This window comes from Homo sapiens, chromosome 17 (assembly GCF_000001405.40).
Source record: "Homo sapiens chromosome 17, GRCh38.p14 Primary Assembly".
Classification (NCBI taxonomy): Eukaryota; Metazoa; Chordata; class Mammalia; order Primates; family Hominidae; genus Homo; species Homo sapiens.
This window is the reverse complement of record NC_000017.11, coordinates 34724640-34745530: the sequence shown is the minus strand read 5'-3', so window position 1 is coordinate 34745530 and position 20891 is coordinate 34724640. Positions and strand designations below refer to the sequence as shown.

Here is a 20891-nt window from a genome sequence, read left to right as displayed (position 1 = left end):
TAGAATAGACAAACCAATTTTGCAAAAGAAGAATAAGGCTGGAGAACTCACCATACCCAACTTTAAGACTTACTATAAAGCTACCATAATTATCAGGGATCTAGAACTAGAAATACCATTTGACCCAGCCATCCCATTACTGGGTATATACCCAAAGGATTATAAATCATGCTGCTATAAAGACACATGCACATGTATGTTTATTGCGGCACTATTCACAATAGCAAAGACTTGGAACCAACCCAAATGTCCTAACAATGATAGACGAGATTAAGAAAATGTGGCACATATACACCATGGAATACTATGCAGCCATAAAAAATGATGAGTTCATGTCCTTTGTAGGGACATGGATGAAATTGGAAATCATCATTTCTCAGCAAACTATCGCAAGGACAAAAAACCAAACACCTCATGTTCTCACTCATAGGTGGGAATTGAACAATGAGAACACATGGACACGGGAAGGGAACATCACACACCGGGGACTGTTGTGGGGTCGGGGGAGGGGAGAGGGATAGCATTAGGAGATATACCTAATGCTAAATGACGAGTTAATGGGTGCAGCACACCAACATGGCACATGTATACATATGTAAGAAACCTGCACGTTGTGCACATGTACCCTAAAACTTAAAGTATAATAATAAAATTTAAAAAAAACTACAATAATTAAGGCAGTGTCATATTGGCAAAAATAAAGACACATATACAGAGAGAAAAATGATAGCTCAATGGAACGTAATAGAAAGATCAGAAACAGCCAACTATAAAAAAGATCATTTAACTTTTAACAAAGTTGCAAAGGCAATTCAATGGAGAAAGGACAGTTTTTCTTTTCAATAAATGATATTGAAGTGGATGGGCATTCATATACACAAAAGCGAACCTTACCCTAAGCGTTATACCTTATGTAGAAATTCACTTGAAATGGATCATTGACTTAAATTTAAAACATAAAACTTTTAGAAGAAATAATAGAAGAAAACCTTAGTGATTTGGAGCTAGATGAATTCTTACATATGACATCAAAAACATTACCCATAAAACAAAAATTTGATAAACTGGACTTCATCACAATGAAAAACTCTTGCTAAATGAAACACATTTCTTTTTTTTTTTTTTTTTTTGCTTTTGAGACAATGTCTCGCTCTGTCACCCAGGCTAGAAGGCTGGAGTGCAGTGGTGCATTCACAGCTCACTGCAAACTCTGCCTCCCAGATTCAAGCGATTCTCGTGCTTCAGCCACCCAAGCACCTGGGATTACAGGTGTGTGCCACCACACCCAGATAATTTTTGTATTTCTAGTAGAGACCAGGTTTTGTCATGTTGGTCAGGCTGGTCTTGAACTCCTGGCCTCAAGTGATCTGCCTACCTCGGCCTCCCAAGGGAGGGATTACAGGCGTGAGCTGCTACACCCGGCTGTGAAAGACACTTCTAAGAGAATAGGAAGACAAGTTGTAGACTGGCAGAAAATATTTGCAAATCAGACATCTGACAAAAGGACTTGTATCCAGAATATATAAAGAACTCTTAAATCTCAGTAATGAGAAAATAACTCAATTAAAAATGGGCAAAAGACTTGAACAAGCACTTCACCAAAGAGAATATATGGATGCCATGAAAAGATGTTCAACATTATTAGGTACTAGGGAAATACAAATTAAGACCACAATACAGCTGGGCATGGTGACACCCACCTGTAGTCCCAGCTACCTTGGAGACTGAGGCAGGAAGATTGCTTGAGCCCAGGCATTCAAGGCTGCAGTGAGCTATGATCATACTACTGCACTCCAGCCTGGGTGACAGAGTGAGACCCTATCTCAAAATAAATAAATAATAATAAAACTACAAATATTAATAAATACCATTACACACCTATTGGAATGGCTGAAACAAAAAAGTTGACAATAATAGCTGCTGGTGAAGATGTGTAGAAACTGAAACTCATACTTTGCTGGTGGGAATGCAACTGGTACAGCTACTCTAGAAAACAGTTTGGCAGTTTCTTATTAAACATGCACATCGTACAACACAGCAATCATATTCGTAGGTATTTATTGCAGAGAAATAAAATCTCATGTTCACACAAAAAACCTGTAGGTGAATATTCATAGCAGCTCTATTCATAATCACCAAAACCTGGAAACAACACCTTTGCCTTTCAGTGGGTGAGTGAATGTGGTATATCCATGTAATGAAATACTCAGCAACAAAAAGGAATGATTTATACACACAACATTTTAGACGAGTCTCAAAGGCATTGTGCTGAGTGGAAGAAGGCCGATATCCCAAGGTCACATACTGCATGATTCCACTTATATAGCATCCTGGAAAAGGCAAAACAATAGTAATGCAGAACAGATTAGTGATTGCTGTGGGTTAGGAGGGGTGGAGGGTTTCACGACAAAGTGGCAGCTTGAGAGAGTTTTCTGGGATGATAGAACTATTCCGTAGCAGTGGAGAATATGAATCTATACATGTTAAAGCTTATAGAACCATATACCAAAAAAAGAGTCAATTTTATACTATGTTAACAAATAAGAAAAAGGAAAGAAAAAAAGAGTTAAAAGAGCAGCAGTGCCCAGCAGGCCAGCATGGTGGAGAACCCAGGGATGGAAGGAATAGAGTTGTAGAGGGAGGTGACATCACAGGTCCAGCCTGGCTCCTCACCTGGAGGAGGTCTCCTCCAGAGCCATGTCCTGCAGGTGCTAGGTTTTACTGCCAGGAGGCATTTGATCATCAATTCCCATTATCACCATCTCAGTTGACTCAGCTTGAGTGCCCCGGGAAGCCTAGCTTTATCTGACTTTATGCATTTAAAGTCTCCTTAAACCCCTCACAGACCTCTTCTCTAGCTGCTCCAGCAAATTGCCCACGTGGGAAACCAGGCAGCAGCATTTTTTTTTTTTTTTTGAGATGGAGTCTCGCTCTGTTGCCCAGGCTGGAGGGCAGTGGCACGATATTGGCTCACTGCAACCTCCGCCTCCCAGGTTCAGCGATTCTCCTGCCTCAGCCTCCTGAGTAGCTGGGATTACAGGCACCCACCACCACACCCGGCTAATTTTTGTATTTTTAGTAGAGACGGGGTTTCACCATGTTGGTCTCAAACTCCTGACCTCACGATCCGCCCGCCTCAGCCTCCCAAAGTGCTGGGATTACAGGTGTGAGCCACCATGCAGCAGCATTTTGATGCTTTCTTCCCCACCCTGCCTGCCTCGGTCAGTTGGCTACAAGTTCCTCAGCATATCTTGAATCTCCCTTGCCGCCTTCCCAAACCCAAGCCACAGCCTGGACCTCCCGCTCCCTACTCTGGACCTCTGTAACAGCCTTTTGCTGATTACCCAGCACAGTCCTGCTGGGCTCCGTCCCTTCTCCACAGGCGGCTGGGATGCTTTTGCTAAAGTGCAGACCTCGCTTCCCTGCTTGAAGCTGTAATTGCTCCTCGGGGCAGGGTAAGGGAGCACAGCTTCCCTACCCTGGCCCTGTAGGACCTGGCTCCCTCTAAACTCTGTTGCATTTTTGGGCTCTCTAGCCAATGCCTCCTTCTCCGAGAAATTTGAGCCCCATCCATTCTTCCCCTTGAAAGTTCTCTCCCCTATCCCTTTGCCCAAATCACCTTCCATCCCCTTCACTTGGCTAATTCCTATTCTTTTCAGCCTCATCTTGGACATCTCCCCCCGGGAAGTTTTCCTTGACCTCATCCCACCAAGGATAGCTTAGGTATCCCCTTCTGGGCCTCCCATGGCCTCTGTGCCTGTGTCCTTTACAGCACTTTTTGAGGGTATTGAGATGGTTCATTAACTTTTGAAAATGTTTTTGAAGTGAGGTCTGGGAATAATAATAATAAGTCCTTCATTATTTCCCAAGCAGGTGCCTGTGGTGGGCACTCAGTAACTGTTGCTAAATGAATAACGTCAGGCTGCTTTCTACCACCTTAATACCGAGGAAGCTTTCACAGTATCAGGTGGGTCTTAGCGTATACACACACATAGAGACGCCCTTGCAGAATTCGCCGGTGCCTAATAACTCAGACTCTGCTTTGGTAGAGGGGAGAAGACATCCAGCCCCTTCTCCACTAAAGCTGTGCCCTGCCATTTAATGTAGCTTTGTGTAGGAGGAGGATCCCAGCCTGAGTCAGGGGCTTGACTGTCAGTCCTGGCTTTGTTCCCACTGTGACCTGGGAGAAGACACTGCCTCTCTCTCGACCCAAGTTTCCCATCTGTCCAATGGGACAAATGAAACCTGTCCAGTCTGTCTCAGATGCTTTGAGGTGACAGATCTGAGGGCTGGGGGACAAGTGTCAGCCTTGGACCAGTGGGAGGACCTAGAAGGCAGGTTCTGAGAGGAGAGCTCACAGTGGTTCACAGAGTCACTCACACCCACTCCTGAAACACTCAGCCAAAGCTGGGAGAGATGAAGGAATGTTTGTAGGGTGGCCCCCCTTTTCTCTCACCCCCTTCTTAATTGCAGGGTGGGCAGCTGCCATCTCCCCCCTCCCTCACCACATTTTGTTCAAACCCCTAATTTGTCAGTCAAGGAAGCGGCAAAGCATTAGTAATGGGTGGAATATGCCAGGCAAAAAAGTGGCATTCATTCAGCCCGAGGCCTGCGTGGGGAGGGGTGGTGAGCTGTTTCCCTGCCTTGGGATTGGGGTTGGGGGTGGTGCTTTTCCCCTCCCACCCTTTCATTTCTGTACCCAGAGAGCATGCTTCTGCATGGAGGCAGGCGGCTGGTATGCAGTGGGCTCTTTGCTTTCCTCTGATAGTTGTCATTAATAAAACATTACATTAAATCAGAGCTCAGAGGGGATAATTGGAGCCATTTATCACGTCTGCAGCCAAAGGGAGGGTTGGCTCATTGGCACAGAGGCTGGTGACCAGGCATTGAGGAGTGACCCAAGAACCCATGGGGGCTGGGAAAGCTGTGGGAGGATTGGTTTCCTGAGAAGAGGCAGGGTGGTTTAGATTAGAGGCCTTTGACCTTTCTGCCCCTTCACTCCCTCAGCATTTTAAGGGGTTTTAAGGGAACCTCCCTTTGGCCTGAACAGAGGCCATGAAGCCAGGCTTTGCTGCCACATAGGAGAGGTTGGAGCCCTGGCCCCACCACATACTAGCCGGGTGGTTTCTAACCTTTCTGAGGCTCAGTTTCCTTATCTGTCAAATGGGAATGATACTAATACCTACATTCAGGGCTTTTGTAAAGATGGCCCAAGTGAATGCATTTGAAATGCTTAGCACATTATCTTGCACACAGCAGGGGCTCAGGAAACATTAGCTGTTATTATTATTAGTTTGGCTGGCTGAGAGTAGGACGGGGCATAGGATCTGTGCCACCCACTTTCAGGGTAAAAAGTCACAATTACAAAGTGGAAAAAGCATGAGCTTCATTCTCAGGTAGACCACCTGGACTTGCAACCCCGGCCACTCAGCTCTTCCTCACCATAAGACTTCCGACAAGTTACACAAGCCCTCTGATCCTATTTCCTGTTTGTGAAATGGGGATGTTCACGGCCACCTCACAGAGCCACTGGAAGATTCAAGTGTGAGAATGGATGACAGCTCCTAGCACATTGCTCATCACATAGGGGAATCAATACGAATTAGGGCTCTTCTTTTAGAAGAGAATTGCCTCTGTGGTTAAACAAAACACAGAGTCTGTCAAGGTATGAGCAGGGCAAGATTGGGGAAGGAGATCAACTGGACTCAAGTGGTGAAGCTGACTCTGGTTCAGCTAGACCTAGGGCTCAAATGAGACCACCTGTTGTAGATTGCATTCCTGGCCCCAAGCCTTAAGTCTTCTTTGTACGAATGCCTTTGGTAATGGCACATTTCAGTTCCTTCCACTAGGGAGTAGAGTGGATTTCAGTTCCCTTTGACGCTGGGCTGGGCCATGTGACTTGCTTTGGCCCATGGGACGGAGCAGAAATGGCAGATCTGAGTCCTGGCCTTGAGAGACTTTAGGTGTTTCTGCTTGCTGTCTTGTCCCTCTGCCATTTTTATGAGAACTAGCTAGCCTGCTGGCCCAAGGTAGGTAATACCATGTGGAGCAGAGCCACCATAACCAGCCCAGCCTGAAGCAGACTGCCTGGCTGAGCCTGACCTAGTTCAACTGAACTGCAGCCGACCTGCGCATCCATGAGAATAAAAGCTTATTGTGGTATGCAGCTGATGTATCGTGGTCAGTTATTACCCACAAAAGCTAACTGACACTCCAAGACCACTTCTTCCCATCTCTCAGCCTTGCTTCTCAAATAATCATTGCCCTTACGGTGGTAAGTTGGCCATCAACATGTCCACCTAACCTTTAACAGCTAAGGCGCCCTGCACAAATCCCAACAGATCCTACACAAGTCCAGGATCTGACTCTAATTGGCTTAGATTAGGTCAAATGCCCATCCCCAAATCAATTACTATGGTCAGGGATGTAGACCACCTTGATTGGCTGAGTCTAGGTCGTATGCTTACCCATGCAGCTGGGCTATGGGGTCAACCTAGAGCACCCCATCAATCCACATGGACAGAGAGCTGGGGAGGGCCATTCTCCAAACGACATGAGGGTGCCTTATCAGAAGAAGGAGGAATGGATGCTAGGCTGGCAAGAGCCACAGATGTTCACTGCAGGAAGGTAGGGAATGCATAATTCTATACTTAGGAAGGAGAATATGTAGGCATTGATGATTGATTCGGTAAGAGAAACATGATCCCAAATGTCCGTCTGGTGGAGTAGCAGTGAGGCCTTTTCAGCAGAGAGAAGAGACCTAGGCATGAACAGAGCAGAGGGAAGGTTTCAGGACACAGAAATCCCCATGGCTTACTCAGAGGGAAAATTAATAAGCCAGTCTGACTAAATAGGAGGATTTCTTCATTTATGTTTAGTTTTAGGCTCCAGAAAGGTCCCAACAGAAACGGAGCATTTCACACTCAACAGGCCTCCATGTGGCTACATGTTTTTAGGATTAATGAGGAGTAATCCAGGAGACTTATCCTCTGTAGCAGGGAGGGAGTAGAGCATGCTTTGACAGAGAACTTCTTACCTGGAGAAAGGGCATGCAGGTCCACCTCCCATGCATCAGAGTAGTTGAAGGATAGGCCAGGATGTCAAAGATCATTCCTGAGGCCTAGCGAGAAATCCTCATGGCCCTGGGAGTCAGTGAGAGTGGTCAGGGGCTGAAATGAATTCCAATGCCAGCCTGAGATTTTGCCTCTGAAATGTGAGCTGTATACATGTCTACCATGTTGTTTCAACTATAAATGACTGAATTTAATCTTTTGGAATCTAAGAGAAGGAAGCTGCTATGGGTTGAATATTTGTCCCTTCCAAAACTCATATTTAAATTTAATCCCCAATGTGGCAGTACTGAGAGATGGGCCTTTAAGAGTGATTGGGTCAGCAAAGACATGAAATCAACCCAAATGCCCATCAATGATAGACTGAATAAAGAAAATGAGGTACATATACACCATGGAATACTATGCAGCCATAAAAAGGAACAAGATCATGTCCTTTGTGGGGACATGGATGGAGCTGGAAGCCATTAGTCTCAGCAAACTAACCAGGAACAGAAAACCAAATACTGCATGTTCTCACTTATAAGTGGGAGCTGAACAACGAGAACACATGAACACAGGGAGGGGAACCGCACACACTGGGGCCTGCCTGGGGGGCAAGGGGAGGGAGAGCATCAGGATAAATAGCTAATGCATACGGGCTTAATACCTAGGTGATGGGTTGACAGGTGCAGCAAACCACCGTGGCACATGTTTACCTGTGAAACAAACCTGCACATTCTGCACATGTGTCCTGGAACTTAAAATAAAATAAAAGTGTTTAGTATATACATACATATAAATGTATGCATTTGTAATTGTTCCTGTTACATTGCTTCCAATTTACCCTGAAAAGAAAGGAAATAATGTCTTTCCTTTATTCCAAATAATAAACTCGTGCATGTGTATGTTAAAAAAAAAAAAGAAGTGATTGGGTCATGAGGGTTATGCCCTTATGAATGGCTTAATCCATTCATGGATTAATGGATTAATGAGTTAATGGACTAATGGGTTATCATGGGAGTAGGATTGGTGGCTTTATAAGAAGAAGAAAAGGGACTTGAGGTAGCATGTTCAGCCTCCTAGCCATGTGACGCCCTGTGCTGCCTCAGGATTCTGCACAGTCCCTACCAGCAAGAAGGCTCCCACTACGTATACTCCCTCAACCTTGGACATCCCCCTTTGGGAACTGTAAGAAACAAAATTTTTTTTAAATAAATTTTCCCAGTTTTAGGTATTCTGTTATAAGCAACAGAAAATGGACTAAAACAGAAGCCTTTTAAAGTGCTAAGAGACCTTCATGTCTGGCCAAGAATTCTGACTGGAGACTTACTTCCACAACTGCCTAGCAGGAAGTCTTCATCCAGAATTCTCTGAAGTTAAAAAAAAATCTAACACTAGAAAGGATTTTCAAGTCTATCTAGAACAACAAGATGAATAAGGAAGAGATGAATCCACTGTTTAGAGCAACTGATGTAAAGAAATACAAGCGAATCAGGTTTCTCATCTCTAATTTTGCTTCTGACTTCAGTTTCTTCCTAGGGAATGGTCTCAGGTAGAACAATAAGGTCTAACAGGGACCTGGAGCTGGGGTTCAGAAGCCCGAGGGGAGCATCTCGAGCTGCTGACTGAAGGCCTCCAGACCCAGGGACGCTCAGCCCAGGGAAAGCCCTTGCCGTTGCCATGAGCAGCTGTTGTTGGCAGCCTCTGAGCAGCATGAGGAAGACGCAATATGGCTGAGTTGTGCCCCCTGAAATTCATATGTTGAAGCCCCGACCACCAGTGTGACTGTATTTGGAGACAGGGCCTTAGGAGGTAATTAAGGTTACCTGATGTCATAAGGGCGGCACCCTAATCTGATAGGATTAGTATCCTTATAAGAAGAGACACCAGAGAACGCCCTCTCCCTCTTCTCCCTCTCCCTCATCTCCCTCCCCCTTCCCACCTCCCTCTCTCCCTCCTCCCCTTCTCCCTCTCCTCCTCTCCCTCTCCTCCCTGACTCTCTTCTTCCTCTCCTGCTTTTCCTCCTCTCCCTCCTCTCCCTCTCCCTCCTTTCCCTCTCCCTCCTTTCCCTCTCCTTCTCCCTCCTGTCCCTCTCCCTGTTCCTCCTTTCCCTCTCCCTCATCTCCTTCTCCCTCCTCGCCCTCCTCCTCCTCTCCCTCCTCACCTTCTCCATGAGTGTGCACAGCCTTGTAAGCACACAGTGAGAAGGCGGCCTCTGCAAGCCAGGAAGAGAGTCCTCACCACAACCCTACCATGTCGGCATGCTGATTTTGGACTTCCAGCCTCCATAACTGTAAAAGGTAAATTTCTGTTGTTTAAGACACCTGGTCTGTGGTATTTTATTATGACAGCCTAAGCAGACTAATACAGAGTGGGAGGGTGGCAGTAATTGAGTTACCTGGACCAGGTGTTTCCCAAGTAGCATCTCATGTGATCCTAAGCACCCATCTGAAGGAAGGCTTGCCATTCTTACTTTATAGAGAAGAAACTGAGTCCTGTTTCCTGTAGCAGGATGGGTACTGAGTCCTGTACCCACTGATATAACATATCCAAGGTCTGGTCTACTCTTCCTCACATACTCCAGACCCAAGCCATTGATGGCTTGTGATTCTGACTGAGGGCAACCTCTGTGATCCTGGAGAGTTTATGAGGTACCACAGGACCATCCTCATCCACTTAATACTCCAAATAATTCTGCAAGGTAGGTAGTAGTACCTATTTCACAGCATAAGAAACTGAAGCTCAGAGGAGTTCTACATCTTACCTACAGTTGTATGGTATATGGCAGATGCACCTGACAGCAGTAACTTAAGCATACCCCGAGAATGACCTGTATGGCAGATGCATCTGACTGTGTTCCGAGCTAAGGAACCCAGGAATGGCCAACTTAGAGTTTCATTTCTTATCTATGAGGAACATCTGAACCTCCAGCCTGTCCTTTGAAATGTGGTTTGTATGGGGGATCAAGGTGCTTTGTTTTGGGTTAAATATAGGTTGCCTGATAGAGATTGCCAGGAGGAGAATGCTAAATGAAAATGCTGTATAAACTGCCTGCTCCTTGTAAGTGGCTATAGTTCTCCTGCCCAGCCTGCCACCACTGGGCTGCTCTGTATGTAAGTTTCCTGCTAATAAAACCGTGTATTGGCCGGGCACGGTGGCTCACCCCTATAATCCCAGCACTTTGGGAGGCCGAGGTGGGCAGATCACGAGGTCAGGAGATAGAGACCATCCTGGCTAACACGGTGAAACACCATCTGTACTAAAAATACAAAAAATTAGCCGGGCATGGTGGCAGGCGCCTGTAGTCCCAGCTACTCAGGAGGCTGAGGCAGGAGAATGGCATGAACCTGGGAGGCGGAACTTGCAGTGAGCTGAGATTGCGCCACTGCACTCCAGCCTGGGCGACAGAGCAAGACTCCATCTCAAAAAACAACAACAACAGCAACAAAAAACAAGAAACAAAAACAACAACAACAACAAAAACACAACTGTGCCTTGTTTGCTGGCTCTGGGTCTTTTCTTTGGCCTCTTGAACCTGGTGCCATCTCTATTGAAGTTAAGAGGGGTCCAGCATGAAATATAGTTAATTAGTAAGAATTTAAACCCAGGACTCTATGACTGCAGAACCTGCATTTTGGACGACAGACCCAGAGCCCCTGCCTGCCCCTATACAGTGCGCCCCCAGCAGATGGGAGCCAGTTCCCTTCAGACCTATTTTACTGTGTCAATGTCTTAAGGAAAATGGCAACTGAAACATAGTAGTTGCTTAATAAATGTCTCGTGAATGGAACCAATGTCTTGCCCTTTCTAGTAGACAGCAACCCCTTTAGGTAGGGACCAAACAGTCCTCACAGTAACACACACAGTGTCACATCTGTGGCCACGTTGGTGGCCATAGCATCATGGGAGAAGACCTCAAGGTGAACAGGGGTTGCCCAGTAAGTGGCCCCTCACCCTTTCTCCCCTGGATTTCATCTTGCTTTTGAGTGTTCTCCAACTTTGGCTAGTCCCTGCCCTCTTTGTAATATAATTACTGCTCTGAAGAGAACAAATCCAGCCTCTGCCATGATCTCCCTGGCCCACTGGGCCGAAGCTCCTCTGGCCTTCTTTCCTCTTCCAGGCCTTTGCCATTGCTGTGCCCTCTCCCTGGGTGTTCTGCCCCTACTCAGACCTTCACAGAACCAACTCCTTCTCCTTCTTGACATCTCGGCTCACATATTGTCTCCTCCCCGTGGCCTTCCCTGATCAGGCCATCTAAATCCCCACCCTCTCCCATTGCTCTCGTCCCTTTATTGTGTTCATCACACTGTTGATACAGACATCATCTTGTTCATTTACTTGTTTGCCTGTCCTCCATTGTTGCATCCCCAGCACCCACAACAGGGCTTGGCTCTTAGGTGTAGGCACTCACTATTTTTATTTTTTGAGATGGATTCTCACTCTGATGCCCAGGCTGGAGTGCAGTGGCACTATCTCGGCTCACTGCAACCTCCGCCACCCGGCTCAAGTGATTCTCCTGCCTCAGTCTCTCAAGTAGCTGGGACTACAGGTGCAAGCCACCATACCTGGCTAATTTTTGTATTTTTAGTAAAGATGGTGTCTCACCATGTTGGCCAGGCTGGTCTCAAAATCCTGACCTCAAATGATCCACCTGCCTTGGCCTCCCAAAGTGCTGGGATTACAGGCGTGAGCCACCGTACCTGGCCACTAAATATTAGTTGAAAGAACAAATGAACAAAGGAACTTTTAAGGAGGGGGCAGCAGGAAGTGCGGAGGGGTGGGACAATTTCTTCTCTTAGGGAACTTTATTCCTTGAGGGTGTCTTGTGCAGTTGAGGCTGTTTCCCTTTAGAGGGGATCAGCATGGAACAAATGAGCTGGTGTGGACACAGCCGCGAGGAATGTGGTTGGAACAGGGAAGCCCAGCCCTCAAGTACCAAGGAGACCCCAGCAGGCGCTGTTGGCTTTGCAGGAAACCAGACTACGAGGCTCCCCTGGTCACAGCCTCCCAGGGCCCCTCCTTGGCTGCTGGGCTGAGCAGGGCTGGACTGAGCTGGCTGATTTCCACTTTATTTTGTGTGATGACTTCCCCCCTCCCTGGAATGATTAGGCCTTAATAAATAACATTTCTCTCTGATATTGTGCCATCATTAATTCTGCTTAGCTCTCCTCGGAGAAAATTTTGTGGAAACATTCTCAGTGCTGCTATTTAAAGCTAAATTAATTTGGCTGATTATTTCTGTCCAAGTAGATTTGTGCCCAGGAGACCAGGGCCAGCACCAAGGAGAAGCAGAGTGAGTGCTCATCCCCGTCCCTGAGGCCTTGGCTACAGTTTCTGCCTGCACCTTACTCTGCACATCTCAAGTTTGAGTCCTCTCTGGTAGGTTGGGGGAGAAAAGGGGACCTGAACTCTGATTTTGGCAGCTCAGATTCTTCCAGCGTCACCTAAAGTGAGGGTGGCACGAAGGGGATCCATCTGCTGTTCTTTCGCATTGCTGGCCCCACAGAGGCTTGTACAAGTTCGAGCTTCTTAGAAAAGACACCATCATGCCTATAATCCCAGCACTTTGGGAGGCCAAGGTGGGCAGATCACCTGAGGTTAGGAGTTCAAGATCAACCTGGCCAACATGGCGGGACTCCGTCTCTACTAAAAGTACAAAAATTAGCCAGGTGTGGTGGCAGGCACCTGTAATCCCAGCTACTCAGGAGGCTGAGGCAGGAGAATTGCTTGAACCCCAGAGGTGGAGGTTGCATTGAGCTGAGATCACACCACAGCACTCCAGCCTGGACAACAAGAGCAAGACCCCGTCTAAAAAAAAAAAAGACACCAATGTGATACTGGGCGCTATTCTTGTTCATGTACCAGGACGAAGCTGTATAAAACAAGTGTAACCCCTTAGGTTTCTATGTACCAGTTCTGTAGATCTACATAAAAATTAGGGGTCTGAATGCTTAGGGGGTTCTGTGTAGGTAAGTCAGTTTCTTTAGAGCAATGAAGTTGTCAGGCTGCAGTCAGGCCAACAGCAGGATCCCAAGCCCCAGTGAAGGGGTTTAAGTAAACAATGCTGGCTTAATGATGCTGAGTTCTCTTTAATGGGCCAGGGCTACCATAGCACACCAGGTTTCTCCATACAAAGCTGGATTCTGTGAATTCAGATTTCTGTAAAATTACCAAGGCTTTGGCACAATGAAGCACAGTTCTGAAGAAAAAGGCAGGATTCTGTGTAGCCGGGTAAATTTCTGTGTAACAAATCCGGGTTATGTAGAATAAAGATGATCTCTGGATATCAATATTGGAGTCTGTTGAAAAATCCTGAAGCAGAGTGGAGTTCTGGAGAACCAGTGGAGTTCTGCCTGGAGAGCAGGCAGGTGTGTCCACAAAGAGTGTTCTGGGTCAAGTGCAGGGTTTTGTATAACAATGGCATGGTTCTGTGTTTGGGGATAAAAAAGCAGATTTCCAGAAGGCAAAGAGGGGCTCTGTGTACTGAATGAGATCTGGATACAGTAGGGGCCTACATAACAAAGCAGATTTTTCTAAGAGCTTGAAGAGATTACAATTCTCAATGACAAAGCAATCATGCACATGGGTTCTGTATAATACGGCAGGGTCCTGTGTGACAAAACGAGGCACAGCACACCTTGTGTGATCTGGCCCAGGTCAGGTGCCTCTCCTAGCTGCAAGGGAGGCTGGAAAGTGATCAACTGGTACTCTTCATCTGGACGATGGGAAGCTAGCCCTGACACAAGAGTGGGGATTCCTTTAACATGGGAAGGGGATTCAGATGTTGGACAGCCAAAAAGAATGACACCTCCAGCCCCCAAGTCTCTCTGCACCTGGGACATCTCTATCTGGAGGCCATGCACACACCCAACTCTATGTGTCCCATACTGAGCTTGTCACCTTTCCCCACCAGATTGGCTTATCTCTCCAGTGATGACATGGGACTAGGTATAGCACCATCCTTTTCATTTCCCAAATGAGATACTTTGGAGTCCTTACAGACTTGTGTTTTCATTGCCCTCATCCAATCAGTAACTAACCCAGTCTCTTCTTCCTTGATGTCCCATCAGTCCATTCTTACCCTCCTCACCCTCAGGCATACCCCTTCAGAATTACTGGAGCAGCTCACAGGTGCATGTCACTTCATTATGTGCAAAGGTCTTACATCTCATGTTCTTTTTCACTCCTCACTATTGAGCTGCAGTGGCAGGCTGTGGAGACTCAGGCCAAATAGTGTTATCATGTCTAGATCCCAGATTGCTGTAACTGGGATACAGGGTCAGCTGTGACACAGACCTAAAGTAACAGTCACTTAAACAAGATCAGAAGTTATTTCTTTCCTAGGTTGACAGGCTGGCCGTAAGCAGTCCAACTGAGTAGGGTTGTCCCTGGGTCCATTCCTTAGGGTGCTGCCCTCCTTGGCATGGCCAAGAGGAGTCACCACGGTGTCCACTGGGTCTGTCTTCTAGCTGAGGGGAGAGAGCAAACGGAGCTGTGGGGCTGCAGGGCCAGCCAGGCCACCTTCTCCAAGAGCACAACCCAGAGGTACCCATGTCACTTCTCACATCACTGGCCAAGTTTAGTGGCAAAGGAGGCTAGGAAATGTAGTTGATTCTGGAGAGCCAGGTGCCCAGTTAAAACCTAGAGGTTCATTACTTAGGAAAGCAGGGACAGCTGACAGTCTCCGCCGCTCAGATTTAAACAATTAAAATAACGTAGAACCTAAAAACAAGCATTTATGGAGCTCCTAAAAGGCAGGCAGTCTCATTTGATCATCACACCAACATGGCAAGGCAGGAATTATCATTCCTCTTTATGAAGAAGGAAACTGGGGTGAGGAGGCGTATTAAATGACTTGTGGAAGATCACAAAATTTAAACGTGACAAGATGGGGCCCAAAGCCACCAAGCTGATGCCAGAGCCCAGGTTTTCCATCACTTCACCCAGAATGGAATTTCCAAGGAAGAGGGACATTGTCAGTTTTCTTCACAGCTCTATTCCCAGCACCGAGAACACTAGGGGATGAATCATTGATATTTCTGGAATGAATGAATTTTTGTTCCCTTCTTCCTGTTGGCTCCTCAACCTGAGAGAAGGGACTTCTACACTTTCTTGCCATGTGGGAATGTGCTAGTGTCTTCTCTCCCCTTCTTTATTCCTTTCTAGTTGGGCCACCTACCACTGCAATGTCACTCTTCCGTGTGTGCATGTGTGTGTGTGTGCATGTGTGTGTGCGGGCGTGTGTGTGTGTGTGCGGGCGTGTGCGTGCGTGTGTGTGTGGGTGTGTGTGTGCGCGCACGGGCGTGTGTGTGTGTGTGTGTGTGTATGGAGGGACAACACATTCCACAGTGAGGTCTGGTTTTCAAGGGTGAAAACTCAGCTAAAAGAATTCTTGCTGTGGTGTCCTGAACCTCCAATCATCTCTCCTTCTCATTCTTTATTTATTTTGGAGAGGGAAGTCTCACTTTGTTGCCCAGTCTGGAGTGCAGTGGAGCAATCATAGCTCACTGCCACCCCAAACTCCTGGGCTCAAGGGATCCTTCCTGCCTCAGTCTCCCAAGTAGCTGGGACTTCAGGCATCTGCCACTGCACCTGGCTAATTAACTTTTTTTTTTTTTTTTTTTGTAGAGATAGGGTCTCACTATGTTGGTCAGGCTGGTCTTGCACTGCTGGGCTCAAGCAATCCTCCTGCCTCCACCTCCCAAAGCACTGTGATTATAGGCATGAGCCACTGTGCCCGGCCCCCTCAGTCTTTATACAGCTTGGGAGTTAAGAGGCTGAGGAACCTGGAGGGGCGCTGAGCATCTAAAATAAAAGTTTCCTTCTGCATATGACATGAATAGCTGACATCTGTCAGTCCCTTACTATGTGCCGGCTCTGTTCTAAACTCTTTAATGTACTTCATTTACTTCTCACAACAATGCTATGAGTTGGGTACCCTTCATAGTCCTCTTTTACAGATCAAGAAATGGAGGCACAGAGAGGTTAAGTAATACGTCCAAGCTCACACTGCCAGTAAGGAAGCCAGGATAAAGCTCAAGGCTGCACCTATAAATGCTACTCTACAGCTGTATAACAACACACTTATTAGATAGTCAAACGCTCTACATTTTACAGGCCTCGGTGCAGCTGTGTTTATTTTGATTCACAATAAGGCTCATTTTTCAGATAGGAAGACTGAGGCTTAGAGAGGCTAAGTCTCTGCCCCAATGGTCCAGTTTACTGCTGGCCTGTTCACAGCTCCCTGTAGTCTCCCGTCAGCGGAGGCCTGTGGAAGTGCTCTATCCCTGAGCTCTCTCTGGCTCTGAAGGCAGTCTAGGGCACGTCTGTTGCTCACTTTCCTCCAGGGGCGCCTCCCTTGCTTTCCTTGGGGATCCACAGCCCTTGCAGGCCGCCCTCCCTCCCAGCTGTTGCCGCTGTGCGTGCATGTCAGGGGAGTGCTGGTGCATGGTGGGTACTGAGTGGGGGAAGAGGGCTGTTTATTTACAAGATGACAATTTTGATGTATTTGCTAGGGGGAAAAACACCCCAGCACCACACAATTAAATTAAAAGAGCAGCAGTTGTGGGCGAAGCTCATCTACAGCTGACTTAGAACCAAATGGATCTGAGAAAAACAGCATAAATTGCCGTGGCTTCAGCTGCTCAGCTGGCAAGTCCCCCCGCTGCAGCCCTTAGATGCTGCTGTGGGGCTGACCTCAGCTTGCCCAGGTGTGCACCCTGCCCAGGACCTGTGTAGGATGGAGTGATGAGGGGCTGGGGCATAGCTCTGGTGTTTATTGGCTTTTGTGCCATGACGGGCCTTCCTGGGGCGTCACAGAACAGAAAGCCTTCCTGATCTCCATGGATGGCTTCATTCCTCTCTGCTGTCCAGGCCAGAAGTGTGGCCATGATGTGAACTTCTCCTGCCTCCCTCCTCGCCTCAGCCACTTAGTCATCAGGTTCTGGGGGGCCTAGCATTTTTGTACCTGTCTGGCTCTTTCCCTCCTCTCTCCCCTCCTCTCTGGTCATTGGAACGCTCATTCTGTGTTTCATCTGAAAAGTGGTGACAGCCTCTTCCCTGCCTCCAGTTTTACCCAGTTAGATACACTCAACATTCAGGCTGGGCGCAGTGGCTCACACCTGTAATCCCAGCACTTTGGGAGGCTGAGGCGAGTGGGTCACTTGAGGCTAGGAGTTTGAGATCAGCCTGGCCAACATGGCAAAACCCTGTCTCAACTAAAAATACAAAAATTAGCCAAGCGTGTTGGCACGCATCTGTAATCCCAGCTACTTGGTAGGCTGAGACACAAGAATTGCTTGAAGCTGGGAGGCGGAGGTTGCAGTGAGCTGAGATCGTGTCACTGAACTCCAGCCTGGGTGAAAGAGTGAGACTCTGTCTCAAAAAACAAACAAACAAACAAACAAACAAAGAAAAATAAAAAAGATCTACTCTGCATTTAGCAATTATACTCCTAAATTTCTTAGCATGTCATTCAAAGCTCTTGAATCCATCAGACTTCTGCTATGGTGCTGTACAACAAACACTCCCTAAATCTCAATGGCTAACGACTACAAATACTAATGTTTCTTATGCATGGGCCTTCAGGTGGGCTGGGGCAGCTCTGTTTCAAGTGGTAGGCTGGGTTCAGGGCTGTGCCACGTGGCTTTCATTCTGGGACCAGCATCTCGCCAAAGCATGCCCTTCCCAAGGCAGAATGGCAGATCACAAGAGGCCTAGCTAAACTATGCAAGCACTTTTAAAGTCTCTGCTCACGTTGAGTCCGCCAATCCTTCACTGGCCAAAGCAAGCCACGTGGCTGAGCTCAGTGGGGCAGGAAATTATACTTCACCTCCTCCAATAGCAAGAGACAAGTCACATGGCAAAAGGAGCTGATGTGTAATACTATTACAAGGAGAAATAGAATAATTGGGAGTAATAACACAATTTTCCATGACCCTTTATAACCATGATTCTCAAAGGTGTTGTCTGTGGACTGCTAAGTAGCACCAACATCACCTTGGCCTACCCCAGGCCAACTGAATCAGAAGCTCTGACCGTGGGGTCTGGCAGTGTTTGTTCTAACAAGTCGTTCCGGTGATGCAGGCTAGAGTTTGAGAACCACTGCTGGGCAACCTGGCTGCCCCTTTCCTGACCCCCGAGTCTCACTCGTTCTGGCTGCAGTGGAAATATGTCCCTTCCCGAGCCGTTCTTTCTCCCTGACAGAATGCTCATTCCTCCCCAGCCTGGCAACTTCCTGCTCAGTTTTCAAGGCTTGGATCAAATGTCCCCTCCTCTGGGGTAGAAACCTGTGTACCCCACCCCTAGCTCAAAGAGAATGAATCACTCCCTCCTTTGTGCTCTCATGGGACTCCAACAGGTACAGGGGAAACAGCAGGACCCAGAGGGTATGTCAACTTTGGGCTCGGAACAGGGACTCCTCCACAGTCAAGACTGTGTCTTATTGGCTATTCCATCCCCAGCACATCACCTATGCCTGCCACATGGTAAGCGCTCAATAGCTGTTGCCTGATTTTGTTGCTGACTTTCAGGTGCTGTTGCCAGGGTGAGGGTACATTACTATTTCTGCCCCAAGAACCAGGCTTCCCAGGATGTGCAGTTGGGAATATTGATGGAGGGGGAATAATGGGTGAGGTGATCAGGGCAGCTCAGGCTGGGCCCTGCTTAGACTGTAAGTGTGAATGGGGAAAAGGTTCTGAATCCTTGGGTATGGCCAGGAAACAGATGAGGAGAGCATCTGGTGCCCAGATGCCTGGCAGCTGTCCTTGTTTGTGGCAAATCTGGTAAAGGCTCATCCAGGGACACTGCAGGGCTGGGGGAGCTCTGCTTGTTTATTAGATATTGGGAAAGCTAACTGACCATCAGACAGGGGGGTTTTGGGCAGAGCTACCTCCCCCATCAGACTAGGATCTCATCTGAGGCAGGGCTCAGATTTCCATTTCAAGGGAAATCTCTATCAAGGTGGAGGCTCCTGGGCAGCATGAATTGTTTCTGTCCCCTCAAACAAGGGGAGCCCTCCTTACCCAGTTGAGCTGTCTTCCTTTGTGTGGGAATTGAGTTCTTCCCCCAAGACTTGGGCATCCCTGGGATGGGGAAGGGGCTGACAGATAAATCCTTAGACAGATGCCTCATTGTTCTCCAAAAAAAAAAAAAAAAAAAAAAAAGACAACAGCATCCTCCCTTCACCTTTAATAGTTGACATCCTTATATAGACATTTTGTCCATCTCTCTGCCTTCAACCTGAACACCTTTCCCTTTCCAAAACACCCGTAGAATGAGCAGTCAACCTAAGGATGAAGAGGGATGAGGAAGCTGTGGGATTTGGTGCTGGGTGGAGGGGAAGATGCAGTAGGCCAAGAAAAGCCTCTACCTTCCAATCTTTTCCTTTTGGGCTGACAGGTACGTTTCAAGGGAAATTGAATCTGCACATTTCAGCTTCATTTGCACTTAACACATCTGGCTGGCAGTGGGCAGGAGGCTTTTGATGTCTGCGTTTCGGTGCCCAAGCCTTTTTAAGCCTCTTTTCTTTGAAGCCAGGGAGACTTGTGTTTCTGCCAAGGAGTAAACAGACTTGTACACCCTCCAGCAATTTAGTCTTTGGAGACCTGGCTCCCAAAGGCCCTGGGGGCTGGAGGCCCCACTTCTTCATTTGTTCAGCCTACAAACACTTATTCAAGACTTACTGTGCAAAAGCTTCCCCAAAACTGCCTTTCATAGGAAGGGTATAGAGAGAAACTCTGGCAGATTTCACAATCAAACTCACCAAGCTCATTTGTCTAAGAAGCAAGGGAAGGGAGTCTATGTCCCACCAATATTTTCTAGAGTGACTTTAGCTCCCCGATAATTTCATCAGCCTCTCTACCTTCCCACCCACCTCTAAAGTCATCCCTTGCTGTTCTTATTTGTAATGTGGGCAAATTGATGATTTCTCAATGTCATATGAAGTGTGAATAAAGCACTTGAGAAAGTGTGGCTGTTTTTATTGATCTGAGGTAATCTATACAATGACAGCATTGTGTGCAAAGGCGGGCTGTGCTGCCCAGCCTCTTGTTGGAACAGACTGGTGCCTCAACGCCCCTCCTTAGAGAACTCTTGCAAAACACACAGGAAGACACCTTGGCCCCTTCTTTCCAGTTCACTGACTTTGTCCTGCCTCACAACCCCAATCTGATCCCATAACCTTCCCTACTCCTCTTGAGCCTCCAGAGGGAGAAGTCCCGCTTTTGGTCCTGACTGCAGGAAAGCAGGCTGTGGGGGAGCTGAGAGCCAGCAGGTGCATCACTCCTTTGACTGGAGTGATTCATGGCTGGGAGGGAGGGGCAGTTGCAGGCCTCCTTCTCTGCTCACCCAGCCTGGCCTAAGGACCCTGGGTTCCAGGAGGCTCTTCTGAGGACTGGATGGCTTTCAGAGCTTTGGCAGGTTGGGGCATCTCTATGCCCTCTCCCCACTTTTCATGTGCCCAGCTCAAACACCTCCATTAGGGGTAGGTGAGGGGTTTGGCTCTAAGAGGCTTCACCCCAGCCTGGTGCTCTGAGATCTATGGAGGAGGCCTAGTGAATAAGGAGTTTTAGGGGGTCTGAGAATAGAGGAGAAGCAGCATTGCTGTGGGAAACGGGGCCCTTACGTGTGGTTGGAGACCCAGCCATTCTGATGGGGAAGGCACAGCTCTTTATGGAGGAGGAGGGGGACATTCTTTACCACAGCACAGCGTCACAGGAATGAACAGCTGTAGACCTTGGTCCTAAGAGCAGAGAGCAGAGTAGATGAAATTATTCCCCCTCTTCATGTTTCGTGGTGTGACTGAAGTGACCAAGGGGCTGCGTGGCTCTACTGGGGTTT

The 20891-nt window shown here is 47.5% G+C and overlaps 1 long non-coding RNA gene across 1 annotated transcript; it reads left to right on the top strand.

Annotated features, from left to right (window-relative positions):
• Window positions 1-18435: 18435 nt before the first annotated feature.
• On the top strand, window positions 18436-20022 carry LOC105371740 (uncharacterized). Its single transcript, XR_934689.4, has 2 exons — window positions 18436-18538; window positions 19326-20022. It is a non-coding gene; the product is annotated as an uncharacterized LOC105371740 (long non-coding RNA).
• The last annotated feature ends 869 nt before the right edge of the window (window positions 20023-20891 follow it).